The sequence below is a fragment of the Homo sapiens genome, chromosome 6, assembly GCF_000001405.40.
Source record: "Homo sapiens chromosome 6, GRCh38.p14 Primary Assembly".
In the NCBI taxonomy this organism is placed as follows: domain Eukaryota; kingdom Metazoa; phylum Chordata; class Mammalia; order Primates; family Hominidae; genus Homo; species Homo sapiens.
Window position 1 is genome coordinate 10,483,081 of NC_000006.12, and position 24,421 is coordinate 10,507,501.

Here is a 24,421-nt window from a genome sequence, read left to right on the forward strand (position 1 = left end):
CCAGCGCCTCTCTCTCCACATCTCGCAAGCCACACCTCCTGGCAAACACAGGGAGCAGGCTCAGGCCTCAGCCAGCCCAGGGAGGGGCTCCTACAGTGCAGCGGCAGGCTGAAGGGCTCCTCAATCTTGGCCAGAGCGGACACCAAGGCCGAGCAGGTGCTGAGAGCGAGCCAGGGCTGCTAGCACGTTGTCACCTCTCAGCATGGTGGCACGCACCTGTGGTCTCAGCTATTTGGAAGGATCACTTGAGCCCAGGAATTAGAGGTTGCAGTGAGCTGGGATGGCACCACTGCACCGCAGCTTGGGTGTCAGAGCAGCAAGACTCTGTCTCTGAAAAAAGATAAAAATAAAAGAGACAGATGAATTGTGCCCAATGGCCCTAGATGTAGGGCCTCCACTATACCACATATGGGATGGGGGCGTGAGTCACAGAATAGCATCCTTTCTGGAGTGTCCTGGCGGAGACACATGTTCTCATAGTGTAGCAGCAGAGTTACCTATTCCTCACTTCCAGCTTTTGATGGTTTTGCTATTTTTCATGTCTGTTTTTCTAATGGTTCTAGCACAGCTCTTACTAAGTCAAGTTGAGAAGCTGGCCGAGTGGCTTCCATCCCTTCGCCCTTTCTCCCCACCTGGCAGCTCCGTGGGGCAGTCAGGGGCATGGGCCTGGGAGCTGCCCTGGCTGACGTGAAAACAGGCTCCTTCCAGTGTGAAATGGGGCCAGTAATCCTTGCCGCCCCTGCTCTTAGGAGGGTTGTGTGCAGTGGCTGTTCCCTCCAGGTTTTCCAAAGTGCCCACGGAGAGTGAAACGGTGAATGAATGAATCTAAGCCAAGGCATCATGTAGGAGTCAGTGGCTCACAATAATTTGTGGTGAGGTGTGCCTGAAGATACAAAATGTGTCATTAAAACACACACAGGGGCACCGTGGCTCACATCTATAATCCCAGCACTTTGGTAGGCCGAGGTGGGCAGATTACCTTAGGTCAGGAGTTCGAGACCAGCCTGGCCAACATAGTGAAACCCCATCTCTACTAAAAATACAAAAATTAGGCGTGGTGGCACATGCCTGTAATTCCAGCTACTTTTGTTGGGTGGGGGGGCGGCGCTGAGGCAGGAGAATTGCTTGAACCCAGGAGGCGGAGGTTGCAGTGAGCCGAGATTGTGCATTCCAGGCATTCTAGCCCGGGTGACAGAGTGAGACTCGATCTCAAAACAAAAAACAAAAAAAAAACTAGCTCCACCAATTTTAATGGCTTACTAATTTTAATGCTCTTGAGAAAAACCACGTCTGGGTTGGTTCCCTCCTTTACAAAATGGAGATAACAGTTTTGTTTTTTTTTTAAGAAGGGGTTCTTGCTCTGTCACCCAGGCTATAGGCCAGTGGCATAATCATAGCTCACTGCAGCCTATAACTCCTGGCCTCAAGTGATCCTCCCACCTCAGCCTCCCAAAGCATTGGGTTACAGGCATAAGCCACTATGTCCGGCCGATATTATCTATTTTTTTAATTAAAATTTTTATTTGGGGATAACTGTAGATCCAATTGTAAAAAGTACTACAGAGAGATTCCATGTACCCTTTACCCAGCTTCCCGCAGTAAAGTTTGCAAAACTATCATACAATATTGCATCTAGTATATTAAAATGTACATAAACTACCAATTTTATTCAGTTTCACTGTTACTCATGTGTATTTTGTTCTAAATAACTATATCGCATGTGTAGGTTTGTGTATTTACTTCCCCAGCCATGACCACAAAGAACTCTGACCTCTCCTGTTGTCCTTTTACAGCCACACCTACCTGTCTTCATCATGACCCCCCTCAATGCCTGGCAGCCACAAATCTGTTCACTTCCAAAACTTTGTATTATCAATAATGTTATATACATAGAATCATGTAGGCGTGTGTGGGATTTTTTTCCACTCTGCATACTTCCTTGGAGCTTCATCCAAGTTGTTGCATTTATTGTGAATTTGTTCCTTTTGATTGCTAAGTGATAGTTTGTAGTTTGGATGTACACAGTTTAACTATTCATTAAAGGACATTTGGACTGTCTCCAAATTTTGGGCTATTATGAACAAGACTCCTATGAACATTCTTATATGGGTTTTTATGTTAATGTACATTGTAATTTCTCTGGGATAAATACCTAAGAGTACAATTGCTAGGTTAATATCTATTTTTATAGGTCTTGGCGAGCAATAAATTGAATGAGATCGTGTATGTAAAATCACTCATCTGACTTTTTTTTTCATTCCTCAACCTTCTTCCTTTCCTTCCTTTTGATGACGTTTTGGTCATAGGTTTGTGCTAGGATGAAAGTCTTGTTTAAAAAGAAAAAATGAGAGGATGGACTTCTTTTTGGAAAAGATGTAATGAACAGATGCCGTTGAGACCTGTTAGGATTTTCTGTCCTTAAGTTTCTTTCCACAGATTTTCAGAGCTTGAGTCACTTTATAATTTCAGAGAACACATCTTCGTCACCTGCTGTGGCGTAGTGACTTTAATCTAGATGATCTTGCTGGCAGCTGTGCTGGATGAACAAGTGTCTTCTGTTTTATAGGCAGCATCGTCACAAACACTGTCAGGTCAGGAAAAGAAAAAGAAACACACACCACAGCACTTTATTCCAGGCAGATTGAAAAATCTGCGTCTGCTTTCCTGACCCTAACTTTTTTATTTTTTTTTGGAATCTCACTCTGTCGCCCTGGCTGGAGCGCAATGGCACAATCTCGGCTCACTGCAACCTCCGCCTCCTGGGTTCAAGCGATTCTCCTGTCTCAGCCTCCCAAGTAGCTGGGATTACAGGCACCCACCACCACGCCTGGCTAATTTTTTGTATTTTTAGTAGAGATGGGGTTTCACCATGTTGGCCGGACTGGTCTTGAACTCCTGACCTCAAATGATCCCCCCACCTCGGCCTCCCAAAGTGCTGGGATTATAGGCATGAGCCACTGTGCCTGGCACCTTAACTTTCTTATTGGGCGTAAAGGGTAATTTTACATGTCAACGACTCGGCGGGCCATGGAGTGCCCAGATATTTGGTCAAACATTATTCTGGGTGTGTTTGTGGGGGTGTTTCTGGGTGAGATTCACCTTCGAATTGGTAAACTGAGTAAAGCAGATTATCTTCCTAATGTGGATGGATCTCATCCAATCAACTGAAGACCTGAACAGGTAAAAAAGAGGCTAAGAGAGAATTTTGCCCCTCCCAGCTACTGATCTTGGACATCAACTGTCTGAGTTGCCCTGTTGCCCAGACTGGAATGCAGCGGTGTAATCAGAGCTCACCTGGGATCAAGTGATCCTCCCACCTCAGTCTCCTGAATAGCTGCACCACAGGCATGCCACCATGCCTGGATAGTTTAAAACTTTTTGTAGGCCAGCTGCGGTGGCTCATGCCTGTAACCCCAGCACTTTAGAAGGCTGAGGCAGGCGGATTGAGGTCAGGAGTTCGAGACCAGCCTCACCAACATGGTGAAACCCTATCTCTACTAAAAATACAAAAGTTAGGCATGGTGCCTCCTACCTGTAATCCCAGCTGCTAGCAGAGGCTGAGGCAGGAGAATCACTTGAACCCAGCAAGCAGAGGTTGCAGTGAGTTGAGATCATACGCAGTCCAACTTGGGAACCAAGACCAAAAACTCCAAAAAAAAAAAAAACCAACACAACCACACACACACACAGAAAAGACACACTCCAGGGACAGGGACTCAGACTTTCCAAATAGTCTTCACAAACTTATGCTTTTCCAGGGCTGCTGGTGTGTCCAGAATTGGTCAGTGCCCGGTTTCACCGACTTCAAAAATGAAACCATGGGCCCTTAACAGTGAGTATTAAATTTCTTATAAGCGGCATGTCTGGAGCTTGCTCCTTCTAATGTTCCAATGTGTTCAGTTTTTTTCCTTTTGGTGGATTATGTAGTCTTCCTTGCTCAGAAGTGAGGCTACTAACTTTCACAGTGAATGTTATAGCTCGTAAAACTGGCACGTCTGGAGTTACGTCTCAGTGAATTTGTGGGCTCACTGGCTTCAGAAGTGAAGCCACAGACCTTCATAATGAGTGCTACAATTCACAAAAGCAGCACAGACCTAAAGACCAAGCAGAAACAAAACGAGGGAGGAGGAGGAGAAAAAGCTTCCACACAGCAAAAGTAGGTTACAGCTTATTACTACTGGAAGCTCAAGGCAGCCTGCTTTTATTCTCTCATCTGGCCCCACTCACATCCTGCTGATTGGTCCATTTTACAGAGAGCTGATTGGTCTGTTTTGACAGGGTGCTGATTGGTGCGTTTACAATCCCTGAGCTAGACACAAAAATTCTCCATGTCCCCGCTAGATTACCTAGATACAGAGTGTTGACTGATGTATTTACAAATCGTGAGCTAGTCACAGAGTGCCGATTGGTGTATTCACAATCCCTTAGCTAGACATAAAGATTCTCCAAGTCCCCAACAGATTAACTAGATACAGAGTGCCGATTGGTGCATTCACAAACCCTGAGCTAGACACAGGGTGCTGATTGGTGTGTTTACAAACCTTGAGCTAGAGACAGTGCTGATTGGTGTATTTACAATCCCTTAGCTAGACATAAAGGTACTCCATAGTCCCACACCAGACTCAGGACCCAAGCTGGCTTCACCCAGTGGATCCTGCACTAGGGCCGCAAGCGGAGCTGCCTGCTGGTCCCGCGCTGTGCGCCTGCACTTCTGCACTCCTCAGCCCTTGGGCAGTCGTATGGGATCTGGGCGCTCTGGAGCACGGAGTGGTGCTCATCGGGGAGGCTTGGGCTGTTGGGGAGGCTCAGGCTCGGCGGGCTGCAAGTCCGGAGCCCTGCCCCGCGGGGAGGCAGCTAAGGCCCGGCGAGAAATACGAGCACAGCAGCTCCTGGTCTAGGTGCTAAGCCCCTCACTGCCCCGGACTTGCGAGCCGGCGGCCGCTCCGAGTGCGGAGCCCGCTGAGCCCACAACCCGCCCGGAACTCGCGCTGGCCCGCAAGCGCTGCACGCAGCCCCGGTTCCCGCCCGGCTTGTCTCTCCACACCTCCCCGCAAGTTGAGGGAGCCGGCTCCGGCCTTGGCTAGCCCAGTAAGGGGCTCCCACGGTGCAGTGGTGGGCTGAAGTGCTTCTCAAGCGCTGCCAGAGTGGGCGCCCAGGCCCAGGAGGCGCTCAGAGCGAGCCAGGGCTGAGGGCTGTCAGCACGCTGTCACCTCTCACTGGTACAGCCCCCTTATCTCCAGGCTTTTTCCCTTCTCACCCGTTTCGCGTGCCTTTTAAGATGCGGGATTTTTCTTCTACCTGACTTCAGACTTGGTGACCTCTTTGTTAATCCAAGTCCTTGATCTCAGGAAACCCCCAAGATCTCCATTCACTCTACTCATCCCAGGCTTAGGTACCTGACCCCTCAGTGCCAGCTGTGTGACTGTTTCCTGAATCCTACTTCCAGTCTGTGGTCTCATGTTGCTTCTACCGTGCTTTAAAGGACTGCCAATGTGTGAAGCTTTTTGTATTTGATGTGTTAATGAGGTTGTGAGTTTTATTCTTTGCTCAGCCAAATGAATTTGTAAAGAGAATTATGTATTAGAGAATTTGTAAAGAGGATTATACACATATATATATGAAATACACATATATATAATCCATGTATATATACATATGATCCATAAATAATCTGTATATATATGTTTAATGAGTAACAACTATCTATTGATGAAAATGGTGGAAGTTATGTAAGATGACTTGTAAGGAGCATCCCTTCCCTGGGAGAAATCAGCACTGAATGTCTCCTGGGAGGTAGCACATTTTGATGCTGCTGCTGATGATGATGATGATGGAGAAGAGGAAGATAAGCATCTCCATTGCTTTTTATGTGCTAGGTACATAGTCTCATTTGCTCTCACGTTAATCCAGGAAACTAGGCACTGTTTTGGTCCCTGTATTAGCTAGCTTGGGCTGCCATAACAAAATACCACAGACTGCATGGCTTAAACAACAGAAATTTATTTTCTCATAGTCTGGAGCTGGAAGTCCAAGATCAAGTTACCAGCAGGGTTAGTTCCTGGTGAAGGCTCTCTTCCTAGCCTGCAGACGGCCATCTTCTCCCTGTGTCCCCACATGACCTTTCCTCTGTGACATGCTCCTGGTGTCTCTTCCTCTTCTTAGAAAAACACCAGTCCTATTGGATTAGGGCCATGCCCTTATAACCTCATTTTACCTTAATTACCTCTTTACAGACCCTATCTCCAAGTACAGTAACAGTCTGAGTTACTGGGAGTTGGGACTTCAACAGATGAAATTTGGGAGGACACAGTTCAGTCCGTAACAGTCCATCTCTTAGGAATGATGAAACTAGACTGAGATGAGATATACACCTTGCCTAAGATGATAGTAAAGACCAAAGAACAGGAATTTGAAGCCAAATTTGCTCTCATGGCCTCTTAGCCACCAGACCACCCTGCCACAGGCATCAGAACAGAGCAGCTCCACAAAGTGGGCAGGAATAGCACACGCTACCTGCCACTGCCATTCTGACTGGGGAAGAAGGAGTGCTTCCTGGCTTCTCTGGACCTGAGCTCTCACAGTCCAGCCTTACGCTCTTGAGATAGGAGCTCTGAGCTTTTGAAATAGTCCTTGCAAACCCATGCTTTGCTAGTGCAGGAAAGATGCTGTTTGCTGATGTCTTAATGAAACACAACCTAAGCATTGATTACTGTTTACGTGCGGACATGTGTCAGGAAGAAAAGGCATTAAAACTCTTGTGGGGGAAGCCTGTCCAAGGTGGAAATGAGCCCAAGATTCCCAGTATTAATCTGATGCCCCAGGTGTTTGTCAACTTTAGTTTATCTGGAGAGTGGAACATTTGTGTTGGTGTTTCTATCCAAATCTTTCCAGGCCCAAAGGCTCAACATTTTTTTTTTGTGGAGACTTCCCCAATCTCTGGGGTTCTCAACTGCTCTTGAGTTCTTTTAAAGGAGGGGTCCCCAATCCCTGGGCCACAGGCAGGTACCAGTCTGTGGCTTGTTAGGAACCAGGTACACAGCGGGAGGTGAGTGGCAGGTTTGCGAGCATTACCACCTAAGCTCCACCGCCTGTCAGATCAGTGGTGGTATTAGATTCTCACAGGAGCATTAACCCTATTTTGAACTGCACATGCAAGGGGTCTAGGTTGCACATGCCTTATGAAAACATAATGCCTGATCATCTGCGGTGGAACAGTTTTATCCCAAAACCATCCCTGCCCTCATCCATCCTCATCTGTGGAAGTCCCAACTCCCAGTAACTCATCCATGGAATGTCTTCCACGAAAACCAGTCCCTGGTGCCAAAAAGGCTGAGGACCACTACTTTTAAGACCCTCTGTCCAGGCCCCACCTTCAGATGCTGACCACCCAGTGCCTTAGACTTCATTTGTTCATCTGTGTTAAATTGAAGGCTTTTTTTTTTTTTAAACGAGGGGCTCTGGGCTTGCAATGTGTTCTTGTGAAATGAATGAATGAATGAACAAATGGCTTTAGAAATCAGACAATTATATTTCCCTAAAGTTTTTGAAAGATTCCATAAAATAAAAAGACTATTTGGAAGCACAAAACCAGGGAAAATTGCCTTGGTTTCTCATTACCTACTGGCAGGGGTTGCTCAGAGCTGAGCGGTATAGAATAGACAGACCTGGATTTACTATGCTTTATCTTACCTGATATTCAAAACTATCTTACAAGTGGAATACTAGTAACATCTCGCCACCCCCCAACCCTTTTTTTTTTTTTTTTGGAGACAGAGTGTAGCTCTGTTACCTAGGCTGGAGTGCAGTGGCGCAATCTCGGCTCACTGAAACCTCTGCCTCCTGGGTTCAAGAGATTCTCCTGCCTCAGCCTCCCGAGTAGCTGGGACCAGAGGCACGTGCCACCACACCCGGCCAATTTTTGTATTTTTAGTAGAGACGGGGTTTCACCATGTTGGCCACGCTAGTTTCAAACTCCTGACCTCAGGTGAACCACCCGCCTCAGCCTCTCAAAGTGTTGGGATTACAGGCGTGAGCCACCGCACCCAGCCAGCATCTCCCTTCAATGGATAAGGAAATCAGAGCTTCCAGAAGTTAAGTGAGGTTTGCGGACACTTTATTGTTGGGCACAAACTCAACAAGTCTGACTCTAGTGTAACTGGTAACTCCCATGCCAACATGGAATTCAGAGCCTCTAGTGGTGGGATTTCTTGCAGGCCCTGTCATCCCTGGGCTGAGGTTCTTGTGGAAGGTCAAGGTGGCTGGGTGGAACTTGGCAGTGTGGTCAATCAACAGCGCATGGGCATTGAAATTAGGATACTTAGATTCAAAACAGATCTCTCACTTTCTGATTTAGGGCAAGTTACTTGACTTCACCTGCCTCCATTTTCTCAATTGTAACGTGGAACCGAGAAATGACAATGTGCCAGCAGCCCTCCCTCGCTATCGGCGCCTACTCTGGCCGTGCTTGAGGAGCCCTTCAGCCTACCGCTGCGCTGTGGGAACCGCTCTCTGGGGTTGGCCCAGGCTGAAGCCAGCTCCTTTGCTCGCAGGGAGTGTGGAGGGAGAGCCGCGGGCGGGAGCCGGGGCTGCGCGCGGCGCTCGTGGCCGGCGCGCGGTCTCGGCAGTCGCCGAACTTCACTGTCAACTGACGTCTGCTGGGCTTGACTAGGGAAAAAGCTCCCTCTGGGCTGCCAGAGTGCCCGAATTGGGTGCTGCAAAGTGCCCCAGCGCCTGCCGGTAAGAGGTGAAACCGGCTGGGTTTCTGGGAGGGGTGCGAACTTGGAGAACTTTTGTGTCTAGCTAAAGGATTGTAAACTCACCAATCAGCATTCTCTGTGTCTAGCTAAAGGTTTGTAAAAGTACCAATCAACACTCTGTGTCTCGCTAATCTTGTGGGGACTTGGAGAACTTTTGTGTCTAGCTAAAGGATTGTAAACGCACCAGTGAGCACTCTGTGTCTAGCTAAAGGTTTGTAAACACACCAATCAGCACCCTGTCAAAAATGGACCAATCAGCATTCTGTAAAATGGACCAATCAGCACTCTGTAAAATGGACCAATCAGTTCTCTGTAAAATGGACCAATCAGCAGGATGTGGGTGGGGTCAGATAAGGGAATAAAAGCAGGCTGCCTGAATCAATAAGGATAACTGGTTTACGTCTGTTCTTTGTGTTGCTATAGACTTGTTGTTTGGGTTTGTGTTATCTTTTTGATCTGCAGGACTAATAGTAAAAGTCTGTAGCTTCAGTTATAGACTAAGATTACTACTCTGCCAGAAGTAGTGAATAAAGAATCAACTGGGTGGGATGAATCACGGTAGGTGTTCTATGCTTAAGAGCTGGGAGGTTTACCATCTCTGTCTGTAGCTTTGGTCGTTAAAGCAGCGGGATTCTGAAAAAAAGCTGTAGCACTCAGTGGGAAAGTAGGTAGCTTCAGTTTTTAAGTTAGTGAGATTAGGAAGGTGTGTAATGCTCCCAGTCCACTCAATGTGAAGATCTGTAATGTCATTCCTGAAGTCAGTAAGAGCACGAACCCACTATAGAGAAGAAACAAAAGAGGCAAACCCACCAGAGAGAAGAAACTTTGAGCACATCTGAACAGAAGAAATAAACTGGGGTCACATGTTTAACAATTGTAATTCTGTGAGGGTCCACAGCTTCATGCTTGAAGTCAGACTGAGAACCCACTAATTCCACACGCAGTTGTGAAAACTATAGAGGATTTTTTTTTTCTTTTGACAGTTTCACTTGTGCTGCCCAGGCTGGAGTGCAGTGGCACTATCTTGGCACACTGTGGCTTATGTCACGGGTTCAAGCGATTCTGCTGTCTCAGCCTCCCAAGTATGGATTACAGGTATGTGCTACTAGGCCCAGCCAAATTATTTACTGATCATTTTTGGTTTTGTTGCCCAGGCTGGAGTGCAGTGGTGTCCTCTGTGTACTGCAATCTTTGCCTCCCGGGGTCAAGTGGCTTGCCTCTCTCGGCCTCCTGAGTAGCTGGGACTGTAGGCACCCACTACCACACTTGGCTAATTTTTTTGTATTTTTAGTAGAGATGAGATTTCTCAACATTGGCCAGGATGTTGTTGATCTCCTGACCTTGTGATCTGCCCACCTCAGTCTCCCAGAGTGCTGGGATTACAGGAGTGACACACTCTGCCTGGCCTATTTTTCTATTTTTAATAAAGATTTTCACCACGTTGGCCAGGCTGGTCTCGATCTGACCTCAGGTGATCTGCCTGCCTTGGCCTCCGAAAGTGCTGGGGTTACAGGTATGAGCCATTGTGCCTGGTAAATAAGTTTATGTACCAGTGCTGCATCCATGTCATGTGAGCTGGTGTCTTCACCTCCATATAAATATGTTTACATGCTTTTGGAAAGAATGAAAATCTGTGGATGACGACTAAAAATGAGGAACGGCGGAAAAAAAGTCCTGAAGTTTAAATGGACCCGTTTTCTCTAGTGGTGCTTGAAACGAACTGGTTACGGGGGTCAAAAACATGATTCATCGCACCAGGGTGGTCTTTGGTAGCTCTGAGTGGCCACCGTGAGTTCAGTCTTAGTCTTGAATGCAATAGATAATCCTTATCAATTCCAATGAGCCAGTTAAACGGATTTCATGGAACTCTGCAATGGATTACTAAAATGTTCACGGCGGGGCGCCGTGGCTGAAGCGTGTAATCCCAGCGCTTTGGGAGACTGAGGCAGGCAGATAATCTGAGGTCAAGAATTCAAGACCAGCCTGGGCAACATGGTGAAACTGTACTAAAAATACAGAAGTTAGCCAGGCATGGTGATGCACACCTATAATCCAAGCTACTTGGGTGGCTGAGGCAGGAGAATTGCTTGAACCCAGGAGGGGGGAGGCGGAGGTTGCAGTCAGCTGAGATCATGCCATTGCACTCCAGCCTGGGAGACAGAGCGAGACTCCGTCTCTCTCTCTCACACACACACAAGTTCACATTGATCCCGGAGCATTAGGACCTTGGTTTCCTACTGCTGTGTGGATGGATGAGACCTCAGCTGGCATCTGAGAACCCTGGGGAGGGGAAAGAATCAAAACCAGATATACCTGCACCCAACTCCCAGGGCCTCACCTTCTCAAAACATCAACCACTGTCGCCTTATAGTGCAAAAAGCATTGTTGAGTGAAGTGCATGCACAAGTTTGATCGTGCCCCAAGTGCAAACTTGCCTTGAGAAAAATGTCATTTCCACGTCCCCCTCTTAAACATTAAGAGACCGTCTCCTACCTCTTAGGTCTGGGCAGCCTACCCCAGAATCTTGGCTCTCCCTCTCTGCCCGAATCGAAATCAGAGATTTGAAAAAGTCTGGCAAAAGGTTTTTGAAAGGTCACCAGGCCATTTCTTTGCTACCTTTAGTGGTGGTAGCATTTATCTTACCATAGACGTCAAGTCAAAAAAAAGTTCCGCAGACATTTGCGTCAGTAAAGCAAAGAGACTGGGCCTGGCTCCGCGGGACTCAGTGGTGCCCGCTGGCCCTGCCAGCTCTGCTGAGTCTGTGAGGACTGGAAGGCTTTGGAGCTGCTGCGCCGACTCCGACGTGGAAAAAGCATGTAGTCGGGGCAGCGCCTGTTTCCACAAGGAACGCAAAAAGGTGGCGTCAAGGATTACGGTCCCCCTTGCAGTAAAGTAACTGGGCAGGAAGGCGACAAAGGTACTGCGGCTCCGAACCACAGTGGGTAACAAGGGAAACCTGCTCAGACCTGTGTGTGCATCGCCAATGTCGGATTTTGGTTTGGTTTTGTTTTTTTACTTTTAAAAAGATATAAAGTCTTTGGTTCTTTGCATGAAAACATTAGTAGTGGGATGGGAAATTTATTTGGATGAAGTTCAGTAGTTACTCAAGTGATAGTCGCTCTTCCTGGGAGGATCTTAGTGATCATTAAGGTCCGGGCCACCCTTAATAAGTGCCTGTTAACAGCAGCAGTCATTGATTTTTGAAAGTGTGTGGTCGGCAGCAGAAAGCCTGGTACAGCCTTGCTTCTACCGTTTTCTCGGTTGTTTTGGAATCGCCTTTGCAAAAGCCATGCACGGCTATAGTTCTGTGATAGCACCCAGGGCTCATGGTCTCTCTCTGCTGTGTACCAAATGCGTCGAACTAGCGCTGAGGACTTCTTGCAGGGGATGTCTGTTTAACAGCGGTCATTTCTGCTTCCCTGGCGGTGAAAGCAGGAAACACCTGGAATCCTTAGATTCTGAAAACTTCATGTTACTCTCTGGAATATGTGCGTGCATGTGTGTGTGTGCATGCGTGTGCATGCGTGCGTGCATGTGTATAAGTATGATCTGCTCTAGTGCATTCTCTCAAGTGATTTTTTTAAACTGTATGATTTATTGCCTACTTTGTAAATGCAACAGGCTTACACAGCAGTTGGTCCATAACCTGCCCCCAAGCACACAGCCCTCATGACCCTACACTGGCCAAATTCACCCTTTTTTTTTTTTTTTTTTTTGAGACAGAGTCTCGCTCTTGTCACCCAGGCTGGAGTGCAGTGGTGTGATTTCGGCTCACTGCAACCTCCGCCTCCCAGGTTCAACCAATTCTCGTGCCTCAGCCTCCCAAATAGCTGGGATTACAGGTGCCTGCCACCATGCCTGGCTAATTTTTGTATTTTTAGTTGAGACGAGGTTTCACCATGTTGGCCAGGCTGCTCTCGAACTCCTGATCTCAAGTGATCTGCCCACCTTGGCCTTCCCAAGTGCTGGGATTACAGGGTGAGCCACTGCACCCAGCCCCAAAATTGCTCTTATTTGGATCGGGAAAGTCTGTCTACTGTTCTCTGAGGGGCAACTAACTATTAGTATTCATTACCATACAGTAATGTTGTTTGTGAAACAAAACCAAACAAATTTTTAAAAAGCAAAATAAAAGCTCTGTGAAGTTATAATGTGAGGCTGGTAGGATTTTACGGGAAAGGTGTAGTATTCTGGAAAATTCTGAGATTGCACCACTAATGCCTGGCTAAGGAAGGAGTTTGCTGAGAGAAAACTCTTTAAGTTGTGTCCGTCTGTCAATTCATCCATTCATCCATCTAGCTATCACCTCAGCTCCTCTGAGTTCAGAATCTTGCTGAAGTTCATACAGTTAACACTCAGGAACCAGGACTCTGCTCTTCTCACCAGTGGGGCAGCCCAATTAGCAGACTTTTGGCCCTGTATCCCAAATTTTTCTGGAGTGTTATTGAATCAGATTATGAAGAGATGCCACAATTAAGGAACATTGACCCTTATTTTCTGTGTAAGGTCAATTTTCTACTTGGAGGGAGGTTAATGCTTAAGCTCCTCTAACAAAGTATTAAACATAACCCAGCTGGTGCTCTGTGGACTCAGGGCTTGTGCTGGAGACCTGGCTGCAGGGCCACAGGCTCCATAGCGATACAAGGGTGGTCTGAAAGGCAGGCTGTGCCCACCACGCCCCTAAATATCTCTTCCTAAGCAAAAACGGACCACGCTCTGCTTTTGCCTGAGTAAGGGCTGCTGATTAGGTTTTTTTAAAAAAAATTTATTTTGGAATTTTTTTAAATGTACAAGAAATTTGCAAAGGTAGTACCGAATCCCTATATACCCATTGTCCAATTTTAGTTGCTGCTAATATTATCAACTCATATTACATTTGTGGTACATTTGTCAAAACTAAGAAATTAGCACTGATGCATTATACTAACTCAACCCCAGACTTTATTCTGATTTCACTAGTTTTTCCATTCAGGTTGCTTTTTGTTCCAGGATCCAGCCCATATTACACGTTGTGTTTGGTTGTTGTACCTCCTTAGTCTTTTCTGCTCTATGACAGTTTCTGTCTTACCTTGTTTTTCGTGACCTTGACAGTTTGGAGGAATACTAGCCAGGTATTTTTTCAAATGGTCCTCAATTTGGGTTTGTTCGATGCATTTTTCTCATGCTTAGACTGCAGTTGTGAGTTCTGGGGGGAAAGAATACCACAGAGTTGTAAAACGCCCTTCTCATCATGCCAAATCGGGGGTACAGTAGACACAGGATGTCGCTGAGGGGTTATCTTTGATCCCTCGGTCAAGATAATGTTTTCCAGGCTTCTCCACAGTAAAGTGACCCCTTTTCTCTTTCCATACCCCATTCTTTGGATGTGAGTTATGAAATCAGTGTACCCTCAGGGGTGGGGGGATTAAACTCTACCACCTGGGGGAAAAGTGTTAGATTGTTTTTTGAGAACTGGGGATCACCTGGCTCCATCCTCCCCTGTTTATAATTTGCCATTTCATTGTATTGTGAGGGAGAATGTGTCCATCCTTTCATAGCTAACTTAGCAGTTAAATTTTGTCCTGGGCACTGTGGATGTAGGACGTAGAGGTGAACAGGAAATAGACCAGTGGAAAAGACGTGGAGGGCAAGGCCGATGTAATAAAGTTTAAATACAGCTCATGCATAAAATCACAGTGGGACCTGGTTTGGATTTAAGCTTTTTCATCTAAAAACTTGGGATAATAATAGCTTCCTCTTGAGTAATTGTGAGAATTAAGTTGGACAGTGAATGCGGAAGGACTAAACATAGTGTTTGATATGTAGTAGCTGCTCAATAAATGTTAGTTGTCTTCCTTCAAGAAGAAAATGATGGACCCAGGCCGGGCACAGTGGTTCACGGCTGTGATCCCAGCACTCTGGGAGGCCGAGACGGGCAGATCACGAGGTCAGGAGTTCGAGACTAGCCTGGCCAACATGGTGAAACCTCGTCTCTACTAAAAATACAAAAATAATTGGACGTGGTGGTGGGCACCTGTAATCCCAGCACTCGGGAGGCTGAGGCAGGAGAATCATTTGAACCCGGTGGCAGAGTTTGCAGTAAGCCTAGATTGCACCATTGTACTCCAGCCTGGGTGACAGTGCGAAACTACATCTTGAAAAAAAAAAAAAAAGAAAAAAATAACATGATGGACCTTTGCTGCTAACAGCATGGATTCTGGCACCAAACTGCCTGCTTTTGAGACGTGGTTCTATGGCTTCAAGCCTGTGTGACCTTGGGAGAGTTAATCAACTTCTCAGTGCCTCATATTTTTCTTGGGTAAAAGGAGGATAATAATAGTATCCCTCTCATAGGGTTGCTGTGAGTATGATTCATTGTATGTAAAGAGCACAGAACAGCGCATGGCACATTGTGTGTTACAAGTGTTTGCAAATATTCCATATCATTCCATTCATTCATATCTTAGGCAGTACAATATGCATTAATTTGGTATTTAACCATTCTATTGAATTCAATAGATTAGAATTCAGTTATTCAATAGATTAGATTTTTATTTATTTATTTTTCATCTTTTATTTATTTTTTGAGACGGAGTCTCACCCTGTCGCCCAGGCTGGAGTGCAGTGGCTTGATCTCGGCTCACTGCAAGCTCCACCTCCCGGGTTCACACCATTCTCCTGCTTCAGCCTCCCAAGTAGCTGGGACTACAGGTGCCTGCCACCATGCCCGGCTAATTTTTTGTATTTTTAGTAGAGATGGGGTTTCACTGTGTTAGCCAGGATGGTCTCGATCTCCTGATCTCATGAGCCACCTGCCTTGGCCTCCCAAAGTGCTGGGATTATAGGTGTGAGCCACTGCGCCCAGCTAGATTTTAATTTACTAATGTAATAACCATTCTATAGAATTTTATTTATTTATTGAGACATAGTCTTGCTCTGTTGCCCAGGCTGGAGTGCAGTGGCACAATCTCGGCTCACTGCAACCTCCACCTCCTGGGTTCAAGCGAGTCCCCTGCCTTGGCCTCCCCAGTAGCTGGGTTTACAGGTGTGCACCACCATGTCTAGCTAATTTTTTTGCATTTTTAGTAGAGACGGGGTTTCATCATGTTGGCCAGGCTGGTCTCCAATTGCTGACCTCAGGTGATCCGCCTGCCTCGAACCCCCCAAAGTGCTGAGATTACAGGCATAAGCCACGGCACCCAGCCCCATTCTATAGAATTTAATGGATATAGATTACTATACCAATTTAATTTTTTCTTTCTCCCATATTCCACCCAACCTAGCAACACTGAGATATAATTGAGATAAACTTCACATACATGTACAATTGATGAGTTTTAACTTATTAAAATATCTGTGAAATCATCACTTCAGTAAAACACAGAACATATTCATCAGCCCCAAAAGGTTTCCCCGGGTCCCTTTGAGATGTCTCCCTTCCAGATAACTGCTGATTGACTTTCTGTCGCTATAGAAAGTTTGCACTTTTAGTTTGCATTTTCTAGATTTCTATATTAATGAAATCTTATAGCAGGAACTTTGTTTTCTGGTATGGCTTCTTTCAGCATTAATATTTTGAGGTTTGTCCATGTTGTTGCACGTATTAATAGTTTACTCCTTTTATTACTGGGAAGTATTCCCTTGTATGACTATACCATACTTTTTTTAATCCATTCACCTGCTGATAGACATTAGTATTACTTCCACTTTTTTTTTATTTGTTTGAGATGGAGTGTTGCTCTGTCACCCAGGCTGGAGTGCAGTGGCGCGATCTCAGCTCACTACAGCCTCTGCCTCCGAGTAGTTGGTATTAAAGGCGCACGCCACCATGCATGGCTAATATTTGTATTTTTAGTAGAGATGAGGTTTCACCATGTTGACAGGCTGGTCTCGAACTCCTGATCTTGTGATCTGCCCATCCAGCCTCAAAAAGTCCTGGGATTACCGGCATGAGCCCCTGTGCCAGGCTTTTTTTTTTTTTTTTTTTTTAAATAAAGATGTCATAAACAGCTATATACAAGAGTATATACCAACATATGATTTGAATTCCCTGGAATAAATATAGTTGATCCTTATTTGCGGGTTATGTGTTTTAAATTCACCTACTCATTAACATGTTTGTGTAACCCCAAAAGTATTAACCTTACAAGTAGTATTCATGGTCACTTGCCCATATGTGCAGAGCTGCCAAAAGTCTAAGTTCCCAGGCTTGCACATTCCCAGCTAAGGTTGAACAAGATGACTCTACTTTCTTGTTTCAGCTCATACACAGAGGTGACTAGAAAATAGAGACGGGGCCAGGCATGGTGGCTCATGCCTGTAATCCCAGCACTTTGGGAGGCCGAAGCAGGTGGATCACGTGAGGTCAGGAGTTCGAGACCAGCCTGGCCAACATGGTGAAACCCCATCTCTACTAAAATACAAAAAATTAGCCAGGCGTGGTGGAGGCGCCTGTAATCCCAGCAACCCAGGGGGCTGAGGGAGGAGAATCGCTTGAACCTGGAAAGTGGAGGTTGCAGTGAGCTGAGATTGAGCATGCCACTGCACTCCAGCCTGGGCGACAGAGCAAGACTCTATCTCAAAAAAAAAAAAAAAAGAGAAACGGGAGGGAACATTATACATTATAGGGCAAAAAGTTGCAGCTGTGGGGCCAGCTGGACAGATCTGAATCTCACCTCCGGCGCCTGTAGATCCCGGAGCATTAGGACCTTGGATGTTTTTAAAAGAATATTCTCTGATCACACGGAATTAAGTTGGAAATCAGTAGCAGAAAACGCCCCTTGGTGGAGTATCTCAGGCAAGACTCTTAACACTTTGGAACATAGTTTTCTCTTTTATAAAATAAAAGAAAATCAATCAGGATGAGTTGTCTTGGAGATTTAAGATTATAATCCATGTTAGATATATATCCTCTAGCGACAATATTTCAGAGTTAGCTAATTCAGTTTGTGGCAACTTTATAGAAATAACTACCTCGAATAATGAGAAGCAATTGTACCTAGAGGGGATGGATAGGTCTTACGACGGGTATATTTAAGAGTTTAGGAAACTACTGAACTATTGTCCAAAGTGTTTGTGTGATTTTACATTTCCAGCAGGATAGGAAATTTCCAGTTGATTCACATCTCACCAACACACGGTATGGCCAATCTCTTTAATTTTCGCTATTTTAGTGGGATTATAACAATATTTCCTTGTGATTTTAATTAGCACTAAGCTTGCAATGAATAATGATTTTGAATATCTTCTCAGGTATTTATTTACCTTCTGTGTGTCTTCTTTAATAATCTGTTCAAATCTTTTCCTCATTATTTAAAAAATCAACTTTATTGGTCTTTATTTTTAAGAACATGCTTCTCACATATTTACCTATGTAACAAACCTGCACATCCTGCACATGTACCCCAGAACTTAAAAGTTGAAGAAAAAAAATTTTAATCTTAAAAAAAAAAAACATGCTTCTGCCTTCATTGATTTTTTTTTCCCCATTTTTTTCCTGTTTTTCAGTTTATTGATTTTTGTTCCTATCTTTAGTATTTCTTTGATTCTGCATGGTTTGGGTTTAATATAGCCTCTTGCTTTATTTTGTTAGAGAGGAAACTGAAGTCATTGATGAGAGAACTTTCTTCTTTTTTAATGTAGGTATTTCATGCTGTAAATTTTTCTCTGCATTGCGTTAGCTGAATCCCACAAATTTTGATACATCATGTTTTCATTTTCATTAAGCACAAAGTCCTTTCTAATTTCCCTTTTAGTGTCTCTTTTGGACTACGAATTATTTAGAAGTATGGTCTGAAATTCCAAATATTTGGGCATTTTCCAGATATCTTCCTGTTACCGATTTCCAACTTAATTCCACGTGATCAGAGAACATCCTTTAAAAAAAAAAAAGAAAAGGTACTTTTTTGGCTCATGGTTCTGCAGGCTGTACAAGAAGCATGGCACTGGCTTCTGCTTGGCTGCTGGTAAGGGCTCTTGTGCTACGTCAAAACATGGCAGAGAAGGTCAAAGGGGAAGTGGGCACATGAGAAGCAACGTTCCTTATAGGACCTGAACCCTGGTGTATTTATCAAGACTTGCTTTATGGCCCAGAAGATGATCTATTTGGTAAATGTGTACATGAAAATAATGTGTATTCTTTGTTGTTGTTGTTGTTTTGAGACGGACTCTTGTTCTGTCACCCAGGCTGGAGTACAGTGGTGTGATCGCAGCTCACTGCAACCTCTGCCTCCTGGGTTCCAGCAATTCTTCTGCCTCGGCCTCCCAAGTAGCTGGGACTACAGGCATGAGCCACCACGCCTGGCTATTTTTGTATTTTTAGTAGAAACAGGGCTTCACCTTGTTGGCCAGGCTGGTCTTGAACTCCTGACCTCAAGTGATCCACCCGCCTCGGCCTCCCAAAGTGCTGGGATTACAGGCACGAGCCACCACGCCCGGCCAAGAATGTATATTCTCATATTGTTGGGTGAAGGGCTCTTTCTATGTCAAATAGGTCGACCTTCTATATCCTTCGTGGTTTTGTGGCAGCTGTTCATCTAGTTTGACTGTGCTGAGGCAATCCCCTTCTAAGTATACTACCTAATGACTTAGAATTACAAGGTTTTTCTACTCCAGCTGGAAGGAACACAAACAATTGTTAGCCCCGTGTAAGCTTTGCTGTTTCTTTTCTCTAATCCTCGGGTCATTCTTTCCTTGGCATTGGGTCATTTCTTTGCATATTTCCTGATCGGTCGTTAGCTAAAGACTTGAGGGAGACCCTCTTGCATGTGTCTGGAGTTCTCTCTCTGGACTATCTCCTTCACAGTAACTCCACCCTAGGAACCTCAGCAGTCTTGACCTCCTCAAACTCTCAAATCTGTCTGCTCCATTCAAGGAGATGGCCAGGCTCCCCCTGGACTCCTCTGCCTGCCCTGTGGCAGAATAACTCTGTACTCAGTAAGCTGGGGCAATCGCGGGGCTCATATCATTAGTTTCCCCTCTTTCGGAGTTCACTGTCCCGTGCTGTGTGATGTCCTATGTTTGCAAACTGTTGGCTATAGTAACGATGAAATATGCGTCCTGATTACTGAATTGCTATCTAATTAAGCTTTCATTTTGGTTTAACAACTTACTTGACTTATTCCCGATAATGTATACGCTAGAATGTTCCTTGATTCTGAACTTAAACACCAGTGGCATGAAAGAAGAAGGCTACTGAGAATTGTAAACCTTCATCCTTGGCCCTGCTCTTGCTGATTCAGTATCCTGCAGAGCTGAGCTTCCTTCGGCTTTTTCACTCCTGTGTCAGGCTCTCCTACCGTGCTCTCTTCTGAGGTTCACATTCACCATTATTGGATTCTTCTTGTTGCTGTTATTGTATCTTTATTTTCTAATTGTTATAAAAATTTGTCCCTGAACCCCAATTTGGTGCAACTTATTGTTCCCAGGTTTGTTTGTTTTTCTCCCTGGCCTGAACCTCATCCACTTCTTTGCATTTCTTTTGGCATATGTGTCTTTTAATGGCATTTTAATCTCTTTTTAAAACCTCAATATTTCAAAGGCATTTGCTTATTATGACAAATTCAAATGCTATAGGAATGTATAAATTTACAAATTAAACTTTTCTCCAAGTCAAAGTGGGAACTCTGGGTCTGGTCAGAACACCTGATTTTTTTAAACATGCCTTCATTCTATTAACTCAATTATCAAGTTAGCTTCCTCATTATAAATAATATGCAAGGCCAGACACGGTGGCTCACGCCTGTAAATCCCAGCACTTTGGGAGGCCAAAGCAGGTGGATCACTTGGGCTCAGGAGTTCAAGACTAGCCTGGACAACATGGCAAAACCCCATCTCTACAAAAAATACAAAAAATTAGCCAGGCATGGTGGTACGTGCCTGTAGTCCCAGCTACTTAAGGAGCTGAAGCAGGAGTATCTCTTGAGCCCAGGAGGTCAAGGCTGCAGTGAGCTGTGTTCACACGACTGTATTCCAGCCTGGGTAGCAAAGCAAGACCCTGTCTGAAAAGAAAAAAAAAAGATATACATATATTTTCAGACATTATATAATTCAATTAGACATTACCCTACCAAAGAGGACTGTATTGTCAAACAAGCTCACATAGGGCCACTCGTGGTGGCTCACACCTGTCATCCCAGCACTTCAACTTTGGGAGGCTGAGGCAGGAGGATTGCTTGAGCCCGGAAGGTTGAGGCTTCACTGAGCCATATTCATGCCACTGCACTCCAGCTTGGCTGACAAAGCAAGACCCCGTCTCAAAATAAAAAAGAAACTTAGCTAAAAAAATGAGTTTGGGCAACACTGGAAGAAATAAAGCCAAGCAAGTTTCTTTACCGCTTCGCAGATCTTCTTCTGAGCTAGTTTAAATTGTCAACTTTCAAGGTGGGGGAGGGATTAGCCCTTTTCAAATAGCCTTTTTGTATGAGTAAATCCATAATAAAAGTTGATCAATAACCAGTAGACATTTAAACTTCAAATATAAGGGAATAAAACAAACACTGATTTTAGACACTGTTTGAATTAATCAAGCCCGGGCTCCACTTTACAAACATCTGTCTCTGAAGGTTATTAAATTTGGCGTTGGCCTGTGCACTTCAGTGGCCAGGAGGTCAGAAGGCAAGGGAAGGCCAGAAATGACTGCTTCCCCCCACCGAACCCTCTCCTGGATCTGGAAAGAATATGTAGAAAAAAGGATAGTGTTTTAATTTATTCTTGATTAATCTCTTAATTTCATTAAAGTGAATTAAGTTTTTCAGAACACAGAAAAGAACTTCATAAAAATACCAGATATATTTTTTTCTTTTCATGAACATAAACTGCCCAGAAGTCTCTGGGTATTTCTTTCAGGAATTTCAGATCTCCTGCCATAGTTTGAAACATGGTACTGTCTCAGGATGTGGTATTTGGTCCACTGTGATACTCCTAGAGCAGATGCAGTTTCCGCTTTGACATTTCTGGATTTCAGAAATTAGCTCCACACATTGAGACTGAACAAAATCTTTTCCCTGCTTATAAAAGCAGTGCAAGCTCTGGAATAGAGTAAAAGTAATAAAAATAATCCATAATGCTACAACTCAGTGAGAACCACTGTTAACATTCTTGTGTATATATCCCAGTCTTTTTATTCTGTGTATATGTGAATGTATGTGTGTGCATCTGTGTAGGAAGAAATGTGTCTGGGCTGGGCGTGGTGGCTCACACCTGTAATCCCAACACGTTGGGAGGCCTAGGTGGTCAGATCACCTGAGGTCAGGAGTTCAAGACCACCCTGGCCAACATGGTGAAACCCCATCTCTACTAAAAATACAAAAGTTAGCTGGGCGCAGTGGCAGGCACCTGTAGTCCCAGCTACTAGGGAGGCTGAGGCAGGAGAATGGCTTGAACCCGGGAGGCAGAGATTGCAGTGAGCTGAGATCATGCCACTGCACTCCAGCCTTAGCGACAGAGTGAGACCCTGTTTCAAAAAAAAAAAAAAAGTATCTGTTTCTCACCCCTGTATTCCAAATACTCAGCACCTATCTACCTCAGTCCTTGGTATAGGAAAGGCATTTCTTAAGTAGAACATGAATAAATATTAGGGGCCAGGCATGGTGGCCCACACCTGTAATCCCCGCACTTTGGGAGGCCAAAGTGAAAGGATTGCTTGAGCCCAGGTGTTCAAAACCAGCCTGAAAAAGATGGTGAGACTCTCCCCCCCGAAAAAAAGGATCACAATGGGTCCGTTCTTAACCACTTTCAAGTATTCCATTGGAGCTGCCTGATCTCCACCTAGCGATGGTCTAGTACAGTGAGAACTCCCAGATGTGCCCCTTCTGGTGAGAGGCAAGCTTCCTGACAACGCCATGCTGAGTGTTTGATTGGCCGGCCAGACCTGTTCATAAAGCATTTCACAAACCGTCCTTTCTTACGCAAACTAGCTGGGAATAAACAGGCCCCCTGTGGGTCTTAGAACTAAAGCAAATATGAACCTCAAAGAACAAAGGAAAATCATTACTGGTGGCAGGAATATGAGAGTGCTTCCACAATACTATTTCACAAGTCTTTTCTACATGGGCTTCAGTCACAAAGGTGGTTTGACATTCACTGAGCAGCATGGGAACAATTCTAGAACACTTATTCTATCCCTGAGCTATTTCTGGGATAAAAATATTGTTAAAATACGGCTGGGCACCGTGGCTCATGCCTGTAATCCCAGCACTTTGAGAGGCTGAGGCAGGCAGATCACCTGAGGTCAGGAGCTTGAGACCAGCCTGGCCAACATGGTGAAACCCCATCTCTACTAAAAATACAAAAGTTAGCCAGGTGTGGTGGTGTGTGTCTATAATCCCAGCTACTTGGGAGGCTAAGGCAGGAGAATCACTTGAACCCTGGAGGTGGAGGTTGCAGTGGGCTGAGGTCGTGCCATCGCACTCCAGCCTGGGTGACAGAGCGAGACTCTGTCTCAAAAAAAAAAAAAAAAAAAAAAATATATATATATATATATATATATAAACTATATATGTAATTTTAACTATATGCATATATAATATTCTTGACAAAAAGAACACTATTGTTTATTCTAATAAAACAAACACACCTCTTCTCTTCCAAAAAGAATGTGAGACAGCTTAGACTGTTACAGTACTGTGAAGGGAACTATTAAAATTTATACCATATTCTAGTTGTCAAATGTTCAGAATAGGAAAGACTTTAGAATCAGAAGGTAGATTAGCAGCTCTCAGGGACCCAGGGAGTTGGGGCAGGGATGTAATGGTTGGATGGTTTCTTTTGGGATAATACAAATATTGTGGAATTAGATAGAGATGATGGTTGCACAACCTTGTGTGAATATACTGAAAACCACTGAACTGTACATTTCAAAAGGGAGAATTGTATGGTGTATGAATTAAGTTTCAATAAAGTCGTTACAGAAAATTTGCATCATAACAGTGGCTTGCGTGTGTAACAAGTTCCTACTTTCAGAGTACCTTCCTTTTATTATATAACTTTTAATATCATTATAACCTTATAAAATACACAGGGCAAGTTTATGTAATCTCCCTTAATAGTTGGTAGAGCTGAGACCCAAAGAGACTCAGTGATTTTGCCAACATCACACATCTACTTAGAGGTAGAGCCAGATTTCGAATAAAAATATTCCAGTTCCTATCCAGTGAACCTCTATTGTTCAACGTCCCATTAATGGGTTATACTCAATATCCAGCTACTCAATTTCATATATTTTATATGATGTTATTAAATAATAACAGCTCTTATTATTAAGTGCCTGTTATGTGCCAGGTAGCATCATACACTGTTTTTGTTTGTTTTGCTCTTTAGAGAGCAGATCTTGCTATGTTGCCCAGGCTGGAGTACAGTGGCTATTCACAGGCTGGATCACAATGCACTGCAGCCTTGAACTCCTGGGCTCCAGTAATTCTCCCGCCTCAGCCTCCCCAGTAGCTGGTACTACAGGTGCATGTCATCATGCCCTGCTATTACAAGTCATTATACAAACCTCATAAAGTTTTGTTAGCTGCATTTTACTTCTTTTGGAAGGTAGCTTATTCGTCCAAGGTTGCCCCACAGGGGACATTTAGCAGTGCGTGGAGACGTTTTTGGTTGTCACAGTGGGAGGGGGAGGATGCTACTAGCATCTAGTGGGTAGACGCCACGTATGCTGCTAAACGTGCAACAATGAACAGGAC